Raw genomic sequence first — 17,420 nt, forward strand, 5'->3', positions numbered from 1 at the left:
GTTCCTCCTGTGCCTCACCTGCGAGGGCCTGATCCTGGGCACCTGCTGATGAGGCTCCAGCTGAGGGAGGGGTAGTCCCGGCCTTTGGATTTCCAGCAAGAGTGCAGAGGTCATTAGGACCCCCAGGGTCTTCAAAGGCTTGTTTACCCACATTTCTTCCCATGCAGATGAGTTTCCTGCTATTGTCCTAACACTCCGGATTTCTCACTGTGGCTTCAACCTGCAATGGGTATTTCTGGAATTCCTCGAAGAGCCAAGAACACACACATAATTCCCCTATGCACATACAGGACTGAACTGTAAATCTGCATTAGAATTTCAAGATAATCTGCCTGGGCAAGGTGACTCATGCCTGTAATCCCAGCATCTTGGGAGGCTGAGGCAGGAGGGTCGCTTATGCACAGGGTCAAGACTGCAGTGAGCCGTGATTGTTCTACTGCACCCTAGCATGTGCAACAGAGCAAGACCCTGTCCCCCACACCCCAAAAAAGTTTTTCAAGGAAGCCTAAAATAATGAATCTGGCAAGATAGAGTAGAGGCCAGGTGCAGCGGCTCATGTCTGTGATCCCAGCACTTTGGGAGGCCGAGGCAGGCAGATCGCCCAGGAGTTTGAGACCAGCCTGGGCAACATAATGAGACCATATCTCTACCAAAAATACAAAAATTAGCCTGGCGTGCTGGTGCACATCTGTGGTCCCAGCTACTTGGGAGGCTGAGGTGGGAGGATTGCTTGAGCCTGGGAGGTTGAGGCTGCAGTGAGCCATGATTGTGCCACTGCACTCTAGCCTGGGTAACCAAGTGAGATCTTGGCTAAAAATGTTTTTAAAAATTAAAAACAGAAAAGCAGGGAAATAGTTTAGACAATTTTTGGAATTCAGAGATATAGGTAGACCCCTTGTTTCTGGAAAAGTCAGCATTTTTATTCTCTTTTCTTTTTTTTCGAGATGGAGTCTCACTCTGTCACCCAGGCTGTAGTGCGGTGGCATGATCTCAGCTCACTGCAACCTCCGCCTCCCGAGTTCAAGCTATTTTCCTGCCTCAGCCTCCCAGGAAGCTGGGATTACGGGAGCACACCACCACGCCCAGCTAATTTTTGTATTTTTAGTAGAGACGGGGTTTCGCCATGTTGGTCAGGCTGGTCTCGAACTCCTGACCTCAGGTGATCCTCCTACTTTGGCCTCCCAAGGTGCTGGGATTACAGGTGTGAGCCACCATGCCCGGTCAGCATTTTTTTATTGAGGTGACTTTTACAATTTTTTTTTTCTTTAAATGAGACACCTGTCACCCAGCCTGGAGTGCAGTGGTGTGATCATGGCTCCCTGAAACCTCAAGCTCCTGGGCTCAAGTGATCCTCCTGCCTCAGCCTCCCAAGTAGCTGGGACCACAAATGTGCACCACCATGCCTGGCAACTTTTCAAATTTGTTTTATTTTTTGTAGAGACAGGGTCTCCCTATGTTGTTCAGGCTGGTCTTGAACTTCTGGGCTCAGGGGACCCTCCTGTTTCGGCCTCCCAAAATGTAGTGTTGGCACAAACCTTTATTGAAGTATAATTTATATTACAGAAAGGGGTGCCTAAGTGGTTCACTAAATTTTTCACAAACTGAGTGTATCTATTTAAGCCTCACCAGACTGAGCAACCAACATTATCAGCACTGAGCAGCCCCCTCATGCCCGCTTCTGGTCCATGCCCATACCCACCCCCACCCCAGGCTGACAGCATACTGACATCTAACCATATGGACTGGAGTTTCTTGTTTCTGTGCTCTGTATAAAGAGAGGACACACGGGATGTGTACCTACGGTGTGTCATCTCTTGTCTCTGGCCTCACCGGCTTGATGTTACCTTGGGAGGTGTCACTGTTGCTGTGTCACTGTAGATCATTCCCATGGCTGTGTTGTATTGGCTGGGACTGTTTTTATCGAAGGGAGCTTGGACACTCTGCATGCCCCAGTGTGCTCAGGGAGAGCACACGTTGGATGGAAAGTTGGCCGGGTGAGGTGGCTCACGCCTGTAATCCCAGCACTTTGGGAGGCCAAGGTGGGCAGATCACTTGAGGTCAGGAATTCGAGACCAGCCTGGCCAACATAGTGAAACCTCATCTCTACTAAAAATACAAAAATTAGCCAGGTGCTGTGGTGCACCCCTGTAATCCCACCTACTCGGGAGGCTGAGGCAGGAGAATCGCTCGAATCTGGGAGGTGGAGGTTGCAGCAAGCCAAGATCGTGCCACTGCACTCCAGCCTGGGCAACAGAGCGAGACCCTATCTCAAAAAAGAAGAAAAAGGAGAAAGCTAATGTTAATTTTTTAGACAAGCAGTTGAGGACACTCATTTCCGGAAGGGTGAGTATCTGCTGAGTGTTGGGCACTCCCAGGCTTCTTTCTCCTCCCAGCCCCTGAAACAGGGGCCAGGGAGAGTTGGAAGGAAATCCCATGTGATTAAGCCGCAGCAACGTTGAGTGTCCTAAAGCAGGGACCCACAGGCCCCACGCTAGGAGCATGGCCCTGAGGTTAGCCTGCCTGGCAGCACTGTCCGCTCCCATGCCTCTTAGCTGTGTGAGCTGGGCTTTTCACTTGCTCTCTCTGAGTCCAGCTGCCCCTGCGGTAAGACATGAGGATGGCTCTGGTCTGATGGGTTGTGGTGAGGGTGACATGAGGTGAGCTGTGTGCATGCTGGGCACACTGGCGAGGGGCTCTCAGTAATGGGAGGCTGCTGTTGCAGGGCCCGGGCTGTGATGGGGAAAGGGTTGATTGTCCTGCGTTTCTCAGTTGACCAGCGGCATCCGAGGGCCTGAACAGCGAGTGACTCAGGGACTGCCCTTACGTGTCAGAGTTAGAAGTCATGGGAGAATGGAGGCTGCTCTCTCTGGGTTTCCCTGTCCTGTTAGGAGGGGTGAGGTTGCACAGGAAATCTATGGGGAAAAGGTGACAAGTGAACTGGAAGTAGCCGTTCCAAAGTTCCTAGGATTTGCACTGCCAAACAATGAGCTTTAAGGGACGCTTGGAAACATCTGGGGAGAAGGAAGGCCGGGACACTGCGCCCTGCCATCACCAACCCCTAACCTCAGTCCTCTGAGCGGCTCCACTGTCCCTGTGCCAGGTGACTTCATGTGCGTCCTCATTAAAGCAAAGTGCCTGACATTTCCATTGTCCAGTCAATGATGTCCTCGGTTGCTGACTATTGATGGCCTCTAACCCCTTGGTAAGGGTAACTGCAGCCTAGGAAAGGGTGATCTGATCTTTCTCTTTTTTAAACAGAGACGGGGTTTTGCTATGTTGTCCAGGCTAGTCTCAACCTCCTGGGCTCAAGCGATCCTCCTACCTTGGCCACCCAAAGTATTGGGATTACAGTCGTGAGCCACCGAGGCCTGCCAGTCTTTTTCTTTTGTGGCTGATGTTGGACAGGGACACCAGTAGAAAGGTCACTGCAGATTTCTTCCCAAGAGCAAGGCTCTTCGGTCAACCCCCTTTCCCACTTTCCCAGCGGATGTGAACTTCGTGCTCACCAAAGCAAGAGGTTTCAAGGTAGCAGCCCATGGGGTTGTATCTGATTGGCAGAAATGTGTGGTTTGCCCTGAATTGTTTTAAGATGTTTTCATGTTGTGACAATTGGGTAAACTTCTGGAAAAAATAGAGCTCCATACCTCACTCAGCACACCTGGATTGTAAATCGATTAGGAGCTTAATGTATAAAATGAATCTATTGGCCGGGTGCAGTGGCTCACACCTGAATCCTACCACTTTGGGAGGCCAAGGTGGGTGGATCGCTTGAGCTCAGGAGTTCAAGACCAGCATGGGCAACATAGCAAAACCCCTTCTCTGTAAAAAATAGAAAAATTAGCCAGGCATGGTGGTGCTTGCCTATAGACCCAGCTACTTGGTGGGAGGTGGGAAGATTGCTCGAGCCAGGGAACTTGAGGCTGCAGTGAGCTGAGATTGTGCCACTGCACTCCAGCCTGGGTGACAAAGTGTTACCCTGTCTTAGAAAGTAAAATAAAACGAATCTATTGAAGAAATAGGTTAAAAACATTGGCGAAGTGTACAAAATCGAGAAGCCATAAAAGAGGTCAATTTGATTATATAAAATTTTTAAACTTCTGCATGGCAAAACCAACGGAAAACTCAACCAAAAAATCCCAAAACAACAAAATCCTAAGCAAATTCAAAAGATAGATGACAAATTGGGAAAATATATTTGCATCTCATGCTACAAAGGGATAATCTCCCTAAAAAATGTCACCTACAAAAAAGGGAAACAGTAGCAAAACAGGCAAAGGCTATGAACAGGAGTTTCACAGAAAATGCAAAACATGAAAAGATACTCAACCTTAATGTATGCCAATAAGTATGGAAAAATACCCTGAGATTTTTCACATTTCAGGCTGGCAAGGATTAAAATTTTTGATGACACTATTGAATTTTTTTTTTTTTTTGAGACAGAGTCTGCTCTGTTGCCCAGGCTGGAGTGCAGTGGTGTGATCTCAGCTCACTGCAACCCCTGCCTCCTGGGCTCAAATGATCCTCCCACCTCAGGCACCCAAGTAGCTGGGATTACAGGTGCGCACCACCATGCCCAGCTAATTTTTGTGTTTTTAGTAAAGATGGGGTTTTGCCATGTTGGCCAGGCTGGTCTCAAACTCCTGGCCTCAAGTGATCCACCTGCCTCAGCCTCCTAAAGTGCTGGAATTACAGGCTTGAGCCACTGTGCCTGGTCTTGCTGGTGATATTTTGAAGAAACATATTCTTGTACATTGATGGTGGGACACCATTCTCATGGGGGGGCAATTGGCATACCTAACAAAATTAGAAATGGTCCTAGCTACTCAGTAGGCTGCGGCAGCAGGATCGCTTGAGTGAGCCCAGGAGGTTGAGGCTGCAGTAAGCCGTGATCATGCCACTGCACTCCAGCCTGGATGACAAAGCAAAACCCAATCTCTTAAAAAAAAAAGGGGGGGTTGCGGGGGGAAATGTCCTCAGACCCAGTAATTCCACCCCTAGGAATCCAGCTTACACACACAAGAAAGAAAAGATAAATGTACAAGGTTAGTCACTGCACAGTGAGACAGCAAAAGATTAGAAAGAACCCAAGTGATTATTGATCTGGGTTTTATTCCTTTATAGCCCAACCATATGATGGAATACTATAATGTTGTAAAAATGGGTTAAGAGTTCTTTATGAATTGGTGTGGAAACATCGCCAAGATATGAAAGCCAAATGCAGAAAAATATATGTGGTATGCTATTATCTATGTGAAAAAGACATTACTATTCTCTGGAAGGATAAACACAAATTTGAGAATGGTGGATATCTGGGGTGAGAGGTATCCTTTTCACTGTTCTTTAAAAGTTTTGATATTTTGGTGTTTGCCTATTCAAAAAAATGGTTAAAATCAGTTGCCACCAATTAAAAATTAGGAGAATGCATATAAAGAACTGAATTTCCTGTTTGTTTGCTTGTTGCCTTAAGAATGTGAGCCCACTGTTTTTAGTGCCAGATATTCTAATTTTAAACAATGAGCTACATAAAGTCAAGTTGCTTTGGAGGGGGGGGTCCTGGTCTCCAGGCTTTTCTTATACTCAAATTATTTCACTAATTTATTTCACTTGCCTAGCCCCTGTGGGCATTTGCATTTGAGATCCGTAGAACCAGAGACTCAGACAATGGGAAATTTATTCCAAGGATATGGAGTGTGTGAAGAAATGCATCTCGGTCTCAGCTTAATGTGGTGGAGGATGGCAGCTAGATGGTCACTGCAGTTCAAGCAATTGGCAGTCTAGCTAGCACCTCTGTACCCCAATTCCAAACTCCCTGAGGATGAGGCATGGGGTCCCACTAGAGAAGTGTGTGCTGTCCAGGGCTCTCCTTTGGGAGGTGACTGATACCAGGTCAGACATTGTAAGAAAGCTACACCAATATTCCACAAGAATACAAATGCAAAATCAAGAAAATATCAGGAAACAGAATCCAGCAACATATAAAAAAGGATTATACGCCATAACCAAGCAGGATTTCTTCCAGGAGTGCAAGGTTGGTTTAACATCTGAAGATCAGTGTACCACACCATATTAATAAAGGACAAAAACCACATGATCATCTCAATAGATGCAGAAAATAAGCATTTGACAAAATCCAACACCTACTTATGATAAAAACTCTCCTTCTTGGGGTAAAAAGGGGAGTTCTTGGGAAGGTTAGAAGCTAGACAGGTACCCCACAATGTCTGCTTACAGGGTTTACCAACTCCTTGGAGATGTTTAGTTGACTCAGGCAGCTACAGGTTTCCAGGAACCTTCCTCTCCATCTTAAAGCAAAATCCCACTAAATCCCACTTTGCATTATGGTGAAGAGTGCAAACATCTTTGGAAGGAGTTGCAAGTAGTTCTAATTTCAAGCAGCTGTCACAGAATCTCCTCTCTGAGTTCCCTGGGCTTGCTATGGGCTCAAAAGCCTGGAAATTCTTACAGGTGATAATCAGCTTGATGCATTTCAGGCTTGCAGCAGTAGGAGTGAGTGGAGGGCAGCAGGTCTGAGGCTGGCCTCTGCAGTCTTTGCTGGGCCTTCTGGCAGAGTGTGCTTTAAGGACTGCTCATGATGCTGGGTTTGGAGAAGCAGTTAAGGGGAGGACTGCAGGGGACACAAGCATTATATTTGGTCAGAATGAACATACGGTTCCCCTTAAAAACCAAACCAGTGAGGCATGAGCACCCGAGGCCAGCCTCTTCAACCAGGAGGGGTTTCTCACTGGGCCTTCCACGGAGATGCTCCGTTTTAGACGTAATGGGCGGAGTTTCATCTGGAGGAGCCAGGCCGAGGTGAATGAAAGGGAGGAGACCTGGAGGAGCGGGTCTTCTGTTGGCATCCCCAAGCCTGGTGCTGCTGCAGTGGGGACTCTACCCAGAAGGTAAGGATTCCAGCTTAGGCCACGGTCTCCTTGTTGCCGGGATGAACCGAGGAGATGTTGGGGCAAGTCTACACTCTTGAAATGGTTTTCTACATGCAGGTTGCATCTCTGAGTGTACAGGTTCTTCTTAGGCTGCTAGCAGGTGTTTGTTGAGTGGCGGGGAAAAAGAATAAGTGGTCTCAAAGGAAACTGCCTGGAGCAGACATACTATTCAAGGGAAGGCTGGAGCTTGTAGCCCACGTTCACTGCGCATCCCTTTAAACCAGTTCCGTCTGGGAATCAGCTGGGCCACACCTCAAACCAATTACATCAGAATCTCCAAGCAGGGGAGGGGGAAACTTAGATCACCTGTCTTTAAACCCCCCCAGGTGATTTCAGTATGTAGCCAGGGCTGGGAATCACTTGCTTCCAAAGAATACCAGTCAAGAGATTTTTCAGAACTTGCTTCGTCTTCTGAGTTGGAGCAATTGCACCTTTTATCTGGTTTTCATATGGCACAAGGCTTCCTTTGAAGTGCTGGGTCCTCAGCATCGCTCTGCACCTTCTGAGTGTAGCATGGAATTGGTTTTGAATTGGTTTCCGGTTTTGGGTTGAATTGCTTTCACCCGAGCTTCAGAGATGGGTCCTGACTAGTCTAAGCCAACCAGGGTAATGCTAGCTCAGTGACTGACCAGGTAGCTTTGGACTAAGCCCATCAGCTTAGTCGGATGTTCTGGAATGGTCCAGTTGGCTTAGAATTCAGGATTCTTTCTTAATACTGAATGAAGGGGAAACCTCTCAGGTTAGGTAAGTGGAAGGCACCCTATGAATACCGGGGTGCCTGCCTAGGATGAAGTGTCCCTGTGGGTGGCAGGATGGAGACAGAAAACCTGAATCCTTGGTGATGTCCCTGAGCAGCTTGCCCTCCCCAGACACAGCCAGTTGCCCCCTTGTCACCTTTATTAAGCACCGTCTGAGCTGGATTTCCCGTTACCTGCCAGTGAGAGTCCTAATTAATATAAAAGGGTCTGAGGTTGGGCAAAGCAAAGTGAGTAGTCACTGCTAAAGGAAGCAGAGTTCCCTGAGCAGCTCTTGGAGCCAGAGCCCAGGCTGGGCTTGAAGCCCATCTGTCAGCCCCTAGCTCAGCACTATCCGGCATGCTAGAGGTAGCAGAGTCATCCTGGGATAAGGCGGGTCTGGGCTGAGGCTCATTTTGGTGCTTATGGACCTGGGACCCTGCTCTGATTTTCCTTTTTTTTGAGACGGAATTTTGCTCTTGTTGCCCAGGCTAGAGTGCAATGACACGATCTTGGCTCACCACAACCTCTGCCTCCCCGGTTCAAGCGATTCTCCTGCCTCAGCCTCCTGAGTAGCTGGGATTACAGACATGTGTCACCATGCCCGGCTGAAGTTTTTTGTATTTTTAGTAGAGATGGGGGTTTCTCCATGTTGGTCAGGCTGGTCTCGAACTCTTGACCTCAGGTGAGCCACCTGCCTCAGCCTCCCAAAGTGCTGGCATTACAGGCATGAGCTACCACACCCGGCCGGATTTTCCTTTTTAATAGCGCAAGTCTCAGGCTTGCAGCCTCAGCATGCGATAACAGGTAGCAAAAATCTAATGTTTGTCTTGTATTTACTTTCATAGTCACTTTTATGGTCATCTGAATTTGTGGCAAATTATGGTGATTTTGCTTTTTGGTGACATCGTTTTCCTTTAAAAGGGGGAGTGAGGGTGAGGCATGGTGGCTCACACCTGTAATCCCAGTAGTCGGGAGGCTGAGGCAGGAGGATTGCCTGAGCCCAGCAGGTTGAGGCTGCAGAGCTGTAATCGTGCCACTGCACTCCAGCCTGTGTGACAAAGGAGACCCTGTCCCCCCAAAAAAGTGGTGGCGGGAGTTGAGACATACTAAGAACATAAAGCAGTTGTGAGGCAGATGTGGCACAACTGACAATGGTGGTGGAGTGTGAGTCAGTTTGGGGAACGCTGAGCCAGGGACTGAACACTGTGAGAATGGGGCTCACACATCTTTTCATTCATAGCAGCAGCCAACTTTCTTCCAAGGCCAGTCTCTATCCTAGGCCCAGGTGCATGGTGTGGCCGGAAATACCGGTGGCTGTGGACTCAGATATCCCATGTCCTAGTCAGCAGCTTCCCCTTTGCCAGCTGAGATGTCAGGACAAGTTAGCTTCTCTGCACCTCCATGTCAGCACCTGAAACCTGGAGTTCCTACTCCCAATACAAGGTTTGGGGGTTTTTGGAGGAGAGTGCGGAGGATTGGGGTTGGACGGTTTTGAGGACTCAAATACCTTGGATTCCAGTGCTTTACAATTAGTCCCAGAACTACACATCCGTTCTGAAAATACCCGTTGGTTAGCTGTGTATTCACGATGCCTAAGATTCAGGTGTTTTTAGGAACAATATTGTCCTTGTAGGGTGTAGCGGAGCCCCTTGTCCGGAGTCCTGTCCTTGGGGGAGAGGGTTCTAGTTGAGCTTCCCCAGGGGATGCTGATCCAGCTTTGCTGGCAGACGGAGTGGCAATGGCTAAGTCATGCCACTGTCTCTTCCTCCATCTCTCCAAGGCGGGATCTCTACTTTTGATTCCTAGACTGGCTACTTCATGTACACAGCTGTCACGTCCCACTGCAGTCTAGGATGGCAGCCAGTACAGCACTCACATCAAGTATATTGGAAAAGCCCTTTTACTTCTGCTTTATGGTTCCTAAAAGGTGCCTGCTCTGCTTATTAGAGTATCCATTTTGCTTCACTTATAGTAATAAGACATCATTAAAGGTACATAAATAAAATAAGGATTTTTTTTCTTTTTTTTTAAGACGGAGTTTCACTCGTCACCCAGGCTGGAGTGCAATGGCGTGATCTTGGCTCACTGCAACCTCCGCCTCCTGGGTTCAAGTGATTCTCCTGGCTTAGCCTCCTGAGTAGCTGGGATTACAGGCGCCCACCACCATGCCCGGCTAATTTTTGTATTTTTAGTAGAGACAGGGTTTCACCATGTAGGCCAGGCTGGTCTCCAACTCCTGACCTCAGGTGATCCACCTGCCTCAGCCTCCCAAAGTTCTGGGATTACAGGTGTCAGCCACCGCGCCCGGCCAAAATAAGGATTTTTAATTGCAAAAACCAGTTCAGGTTCGAATGGTCTTACACCTTAAGGTTAGGTGGTGTCCTGGATGGGGAAGGGGTTTGCATCACAGATCCATTAACGCTGTATGCTGAAAACACACACATGCAGCCAAACTCATTAAATAGCGTGGAAGATTTGTTCTGGAAATGACTAGGGACCTTCCTTCCCGCGTCCCCTCCTCTTGGTTGGACACTTTGAAATAATGACAAGAACTTTCGGGGGTGATTTTGACTATATGCAACTCTTATATGCTGACTTTAAAACACAACCCCCCCTATACTGTAGCTCCACTACATTCAAGTTACAGCGAGTAGTCCGTTACCGAAGTGGTACAAGTTGGTGGGAAGCAGGATGCAAAGAATTAGCAAATGGGGACCTTGCTTTGGTCAAGCTTTCAAGCCAACTTTGCAGCAGATGGGAGAAATGCCTTTTATTTTCAAACCTGTCAAGTTTGTATCAGCTAAGATGTTTTTCTTCTAGATTACCTCATGGTGACCCACTGATAATTGGTATGTTGGAATGCCATTTCCTAATGGTGGGAGCAGCCTCTTCATTTCTAGTCTTCTGGAAGCTTTTGAGATGTTCCTCCATGACATTTTGGTGAAACATGCCTCAACTGGCACCTAATTATTGCTCAGCAGGGGGGCTGGAAGGGTCACAACAGGCAGAAAAACAAAACAAAACGCTGCCTGATACTCTGCAAAATCCACGTGTTCAACATGTTCTACTTAATTTCATTAGGGAAAGAAAATTTCCATCAAGCTAAATGGTTCTCAAATGTTAGTGGCATAGAACCATGTAGAGATGGATGGGCGTGGTGGTTCACGCCTGTAATCCCGGCACTTTGAAAGGCTGAGGCGGGTCGATCACAAGGTCAGGAGATGGAGACCATTCCGGCTAACACGGTGAAACCCTGTCTCTACTAAAAATACAAAAAAAAAAAAAAAAAAAATTATCCAGGCATGGGGGCACGTGCCTGTAGTCCCGGCAGTACTTGGGAAGGTGAGGCAGGAGAATGGCTTGAACCCAGGAGGCGGAGGTTGCAGTGAGCTGAGATGGCGCCACTGCACTCCAGCCTGGGCAGCAGAGCAAGACTCCATCTCAAAAACAAACAAACAAAAAAACGAACCACCTAGTGATAATTCTTGAGTCTCATCTCGAGGACTCAGTACTAGTAGTCTGAGGTCTAAGTAGTAAAGGAACTACACTTCTGTATGGTAGTACTTATTTGGCAATAAGCAGGTTTGTTTCTAGCGTGAAGCATCTCAGATGGGAAACTCCCATCTTTAATACATCGCAGTTTTCAAATTTGGCACTCATTTTGTTCATGCCAGAAATGGATGTTACAAAGGAGTAGGCATTGGGATCAAACTGACATACAACTCTAGAGCGATATGAGGCATAGATACCCTTTCTGCTTGAATTGCAAGAGGGAATGAAGCTGTTTGATAAAGATTCTCCTCTCCCTATACAATGACAAGGAACCAAAGATAGGATGAGAAAATGCTCTATGTGATGAACAGGGAAAGAAGCCACAGTCCTAGCTTGTCTGAGTGAACTCATTCCCACGAGAAAACCTGCAGGGCCAAAAACACGCCTCCCCACCCCCTTCCCCCGACACCCACAAAAACAAAACACACCAAACCTCTGTAGGATACTTAGGTTTTCTCATGTTAGAAGTGTTCAGCCTACATTTACAGGCATTCTCTAATTAGGTGGCAGCACGTTGCCATAGCCAACGATCTCCAGATTATTTGAAAAGCAAACAGTAGCAACAATATTCTTTTAAAATGGCTTTTATTGAGACACTTGTAGGGATTCTGCAACATTTCCAGTTGGGAATCTTTATTTCCAACTCTTAGGGTGGCTAAACCCTTTTCTGAATGCCAAAAGGCACACTCTCACCACCTTAATGAGGAAACACACTTATCTGTGTCTGTTCCGATATCCAACTGGGACCTGGACCCCAAGCCCCGTGGTGTCTTGTACAAGTCTCATTAGTCCTCCACGTACAACTCAGAAGCCTGTTAATCAGGGAGGGTAATTTCCAAATAAATGTGAGCTGGCCTAAATCCAGCTGGTTATTTCTGATTTGGTAATCTGTAGTATCTTAATTTGGGGACATCCTGTCCTAAGTTTTGGCTGGTGCATGTAGAACTTATAATCTACCTGTATAACAACAGATGCAACATAGCTCCGTTCCAGCCCCAAATTCCTTAAAGGTTCTAGTCTACTCTTGCACTTCTTCCTGTACTGTTGTTGAGAAGCTTACATTTTAGGGAGAGGCTGGTCAAATCTCTACTCTCTGGTAACAGCATTAACAAGAGTCTTTCTTTTGGAAACAGACTCAGAAGTTATGGACATCAGCCACTTCAGACTTCTTTAGGCCACTATCCTTGAGGTGACTGACCAGCCTCCTCATGGATTGGAGTTTCCCATCATTGTTTTAATTGCTGGAAATGTTGGCCTAATTCTGCTTCCTTGTAACTTTCTGCTTTTTAGTACAAGTTCTCTTGGGAATCTACGCATGGTAAAAATACCAGCTCCTTCCATCTTTACAGCCCTGTCAGTGCTGTGCTCTTCAAAGCCTTTCCCTTAATAGCAAGAGGGCCAAGAGTGGCAAATAGAGGCAGAGCCGCCTGCACTACAGTTGTTCCCATCGTAAGGTGAAAACGAACGTTTAACTTCATCTAGAAGAAAAAACAAACAAAAAACCCATCAGGCTATTAAGATTCTGCTTGCAAATTAATGCCAATCCATGTTTACATTTTTTTTTTTATCATTGAGACATTTACATATATATGCAGGCTCTGCTCCTTAACAAAAGGTGAACTGAAAAACTCAAGGGTGTTTGTTTTTCAGTTAAAAAAAAAAAAAAAAAAAAAAAAAAAAAAGAAAAACAGATTTTGTACCAGGTGCCTCAAGAGAAAGCATTCTATTTGCAGATGACAGATCTTGGGTTTTCCACAAGTTTCCTCTGTGACTGTGGCTGCCATCTCTGATGAAAGAGTTATGGCATTAAATGGCAAAAGATATAATGGACACACAGGACTGTCATGTGTAATAAAGCAAATATTTACATTAAGCACAATACAGCAATTTATTTAGATGCTTAAAATGAATACAAAGGGAAAATAAAGATCACAAAATTATACATACTACAACAGTGTGTCATATATTAGATGGTATAAATGAATCCACCATGATGGTGTTGAACTAAAGATAAAACTAAATATCCAAAATGCAGCACTCATTGGTTTGCTGCTTCAACACAACACACTTTTATACAGATCTAAAAGGTGTCAAAATTAGTAGCTGCAAAGTCAATTCTTGCATGTGATTTTAGCTTAAAAGATTTCAGAAAACAGATCTGAAATACCAGTTTTTGTTTTTGACAGCTGTAATGTCAAGGATATTCAGAACAAGAAAAATCCTATAATACAAGAGAGTCCAGATATATATCTTACGTGGCTGGCCTCTGTTGCAAGATTGTACAAGGTTATGTGCAAAAACTAAGTCTGTCCAAAAAGTCCATACTAGCGCAGTTTTGAGCTTTTGCTAGGTAAACTAGATAGAGCGTTTATTACACAGCAAGGGCAACACTAAAAAAAGAAATCTATGATGGGCACACAGTAACAGGATCATGAGCATCACTTGAATAGGTCTAAAAGACTGTACAAATATACATTTCAACTATTCAGAATGAATACATGAAAAAAAATCGCTTTTCCCAAAGTCTACTATACACATTAGACTGGTAGCTTGTATGTTGGCCCTACACTACCATGTGAATTAGTTTAACACTTCTCAAAGACATCTGACCAATCATTTCACAGAGGGAAAGAAATGTTGAAAAGGCAGATAAAATAAACCTCTGCTTTTCCTCGTGTGTATTCATGAGTCACCAGCTTATTGGTTTTTCACATTTAGTTACCGTGTCTGTCAGAGAAGGTTCTGAAGCAAGAACAGCCTGTCCTGTCATAGACTTAGAAATAACCACTGGAACTGCAGCGGCCACATGCCCCACAGTCCAACCAGTACTCACAAGGCAGTACCAGTGAGAAGACAGCTTTGCAGTCACACTGGATATCAGAGTTCCAGGCTGCAGCATGTCACCAACGCCAGGGAACCTGGCACTTAGGCCTGTTGGCTGCTCAGTTTAACTCCGGCTAAGCTGCCATGCATGGGCTCAGCTACTCCATCAGTCATGTTGTCAAACTGTTCCCCATCCTCACTGTCAATTGTGCTATTCTGCCACTCAATCTGGGGGTTAGATAAGCGCTCATCATTCTCAGATGCATTCTTCCACTGTGACTGGTCCTTAGACCAAAACCCTTCAACTTTTCCATAGGAACTATTCTTCCATTTCAACTGCTCTCTGTCACCTTGCATGGTAGCCTTTTTTTTGGCAGCTGGCTTACTGCTCCTTGCATCTTCGCTTTGGGAAGACTCGTCAGACCAGGTTCCTGGTTTCATTTCGCAGGTATTGTCCTCAAAGTCTGACACTTGTTGGGATCCAGGCCCACTCTCAGATGGAGAAGCACCGTCTTTCCACTCAACAACATCGTCTTGGTCAACCTCACTATCAGATGCATTGTGCATTAGTTTGGTTGGTTCCTCAGTCAAATGAATAGTTTCGTATTTTGAACCATCCTCTTTTTGGTCTAGCTTCTCCTCAGATTCTGAAGCATCCTCAGGAATTACCTTCAGTACATGTTCCTCTGGGTTATCGTTAGAGATTTTAGGTTCAACTTCAAAAACAGGGTCAAAAGGGCTACCACTTTCATTGGATTCTTCTTCCAAATTTTCAAAACTGTCTGAGGAACTGTCATCTTCCTTCCCAAGGTTGAGCTTTTTGTCAGCAGTCTTACTAGCATTGACTCTGGAATCCTTCTCATCATGATTTTCAAATAGCCACTCAGCATCAAAATCCATCTCATGCTTGACTTTATTTAATTCTTTCATGTTAAACCCCAGCAACACGCCAGGCTTGTACTTTTCACAATCACGGACACACTTCTTCCTTTTGTTACTAAAATGGGAAGCGATGTCACTCTTCCATAACCATAAACTGGCTGCTAGCTTCTCAATTTCTCTCCTGGTGGGATAGGGCTGTTTGTTGAAATACTTTGTTAGAAAGCTTTTCCTGGCTTCATAGGAATCATCTTCATGACCCTTGGGGTCTAAAGCTAAAACAACAGGCTCTTCAGGCTTCTCTTCAAAGAAGCTGGGTGAATCACTATCATCATCTAACTTTCGTTTTTTCAGTAAGGGAAATTCCATTTGCTCGTAAGTGCGCTTCACAGGTGCCAGACTTGGAGACTGATTAAGCCGAGAGGGTGCATTTGTCTTATCCTGGCCATTTTGGGTCTTTCCAACGCCCCTGCAGTGAACTAGATGCAGAGTGATAGTTGAGGCGGTCATGTTGCTGGTATACACACCAAGGCAATGGATACATTTGTAGGTGAGCTTTTTCTCAACTGGATGAACCGTCTGAATAACTTGGTGCCTCTCTCGTAAGTGATGTGCAAGTGCATCAGATATGGGTCCTTTTAGGATTGAAAAGCAAAGAGGACAAAGGGTTTTCCCAACATCTTTTTTATAGGGCACTGCAGCTTGAGGTGAACTTTTTACAGGGATATCTGCCTTTTCCTGAACCTTTGGCTGTGGCTTTGGAGGAACTGGAGGATTATTTTGGGCATGGTAAGCAACAGATTCAGCTGGGGCATCCCTCAGATTGTATGTAGTTACCAGGAGATGGATGTTAGTGTGACTACCCTGCTGCAATGTCAAATCAAAACTCAAAGTAGAATCTGTTTTAGGTCCCATCTCTTCATCAATGTGAACCATCCGCATGTGTGCGGCCATCTTTTCCACATCATTGAAAGTTGAACGGCAATATGGACAAGACAGACCATGAATTAACATATGGTTGAGCAGAGTATCTGTGGGTAAATAGCGATTACAGTAGAGGCATTTGCTAGTAAAATTGTGTATTTTCATAATGTAGTTGGCTACTGCTGGGACTTTCTCAGCTTTATGTTCTTTTTCGAAGTGCACACTATAGACATTTTCAGGAAAAAGCTCATTACAGATTGTACATATTTTCCACTTTTGAGTTGAGGAAGTGTTACCTGGGGGAGGGCCTGTGGCAGCTGCAGCAGGTTTGGAACTGGACTGACCTAACACTCTGGATGCCTGTGACTGAGAGAGGGAAGGAGACTTTAACTGGCCCGATGAGAGAGAAGAGGCATTAGCAGACTGCAGGGAGTATCTTGCTGGTGCCTGGGACCTCTGCTCTGACCCAAGCCCATAAGACCTTCCGTTTCCACTTGGAAGTAACTGCTTTACAGACTGAGATTGTTGAGGAATGGAAACTGGTGCGTTGCCACCTAGACCCAGTCTCATTGACTGACCAACACTGTAACCCTGGCCTACAGATTTGACTCCATAGTTGTTCTGCTGCAGATGAACACTGGACATCATGTTGACTCCTGTAGAATTTAAGTTAGGCTTTGGTATTGAGAGTCGATTCACCATCTGCTGTGATGGTAAAGACCGGACATTTCCAGAAGCAAGGGAACCGATCCTTGGTGGGAGTCCCATGCTCTTCTTGTCTTGAGGTTTGGGAGCAATTAGCATCAAGGGTTTGGATCGGGGAACCACTACATTTGTGTGCCCAATCATGGCAGTGACCTGATAGCCTATACGTTCATGGTCTTCGATGACATGCTGTACCAAAGCTTCATAGGACTTTGGCATGAAAAGGCATCGCTTGCAGTGAATACTACTCTCTTCTCGGGCATTCGAGCCTAAGGGGACTGCCCCATTGAGTGATTTTTCTCCTGCCTTTGCTATGTAAGGTGCTGCCACATGCTGAAAATGTTCCCTGTAAATGTGCTTCCTAACTATTTCATAAAGAGGATCTCGGTAAGTGCACTTCTTACAGTAATAAACAGCTTGCTCTACACTGTCAGCCTGCTTAGGTTTAAGGCCATCATTTTTGTTTTTATCTTTGAAAGTGCTGAGGCTGCTACTTGGTGCGCTGGCGTTCGGAGCATGAAATATTTTAATGTGTGTTTCCAAAGTCTTTTTGTCTGCATTGAAGGTACAGTAGGGGCAATTAAGGAGAATCCTATTTTCAAAGTCTTCACTATGGACATTGCGGAAATGACTTTTGTAGGCAGAGAAGAATTTTGAGGAAAATGGACAAGCGCTGCAGCAGAAAGGTTTTGTCCGATAGTCCTAAAGTAAACACAAAAACTAGAATTAGAATGCCACTTCAGATAGGCAGTTAACAGATTCCAGATCCCCCCCGGATATTCTTAATAATGCATTGATTTTAGGCCGCGCGTGGTGGCTCACGCCTGTAATCCCAGCACTTTGGGAGGCTGAGGTG

At 45.8% G+C, this 17,420-nt stretch overlaps 2 protein-coding genes across 13 annotated transcripts in view, besides 2 other annotated features; one reads left to right on the forward strand and one right to left on the reverse strand.

Annotated features, from left to right (window-relative positions):
* Positions 1 to 5,430, forward strand: part of BCAS4 (breast carcinoma amplified sequence 4) — an 87,783-nt gene extending 82,353 nt beyond the window's left edge. The window contains exon 6 of the mRNA XM_011528887.3: positions 168 to 5,430. Coding sequence (XP_011527189.1) covers positions 168 to 171 — 4 coding nt within the window. The 3' untranslated portion in view covers positions 172 to 5,430. The remainder of the gene's footprint in view (positions 1 to 167) is intronic.
* Positions 2,134 to 2,635: an enhancer, noted in NCBI's record as "H3K4me1 hESC enhancer chr20:49495917-49496418 (GRCh37/hg19 assembly coordinates)". NCBI's record gives its function as "activates a minimal SCP1, AML or CMV promoter by ChIP-STARR-seq in naive and primed H9 embryonic stem cells {active_cell/tissue: H9 hESC(naive and primed)}" and the evidence as "EXISTENCE:reporter gene assay evidence [ECO:0000049][PMID:30033119]".
* Positions 2,636 to 3,135: an enhancer, noted in NCBI's record as "H3K4me1 hESC enhancer chr20:49496419-49496918 (GRCh37/hg19 assembly coordinates)". NCBI's record gives its function as "activates a minimal SCP1, AML or CMV promoter by ChIP-STARR-seq in naive H9 embryonic stem cells {active_cell/tissue: H9 hESC(naive)}" and the evidence as "EXISTENCE:reporter gene assay evidence [ECO:0000049][PMID:30033119]".
* ADNP (activity dependent neuroprotector homeobox) overlaps positions 11,672 to 17,420 on the reverse strand; it is a 42,520-nt gene continuing 36,771 nt past the window's right edge. For all 12 annotated transcript variants that reach the window (NM_001439001.1, NM_181442.4, NM_001347511.2 and 9 more), the window contains one exon: positions 11,672 to 17,266. In NM_001439001.1, coding sequence (NP_001425930.1) covers positions 14,159 to 16,783 — 2,625 coding nt within the window. In that variant the 5' untranslated portion in view covers positions 16,784 to 17,266 and the 3' untranslated portion in view covers positions 11,672 to 14,158. The remainder of the gene's footprint in view (positions 17,267 to 17,420) is intronic.

This window comes from Homo sapiens, chromosome 20 (genome assembly GCF_000001405.40).
Source record: "Homo sapiens chromosome 20, GRCh38.p14 Primary Assembly".
NCBI lineage: Eukaryota > Metazoa > Chordata > Mammalia > Primates > Hominidae > Homo > Homo sapiens.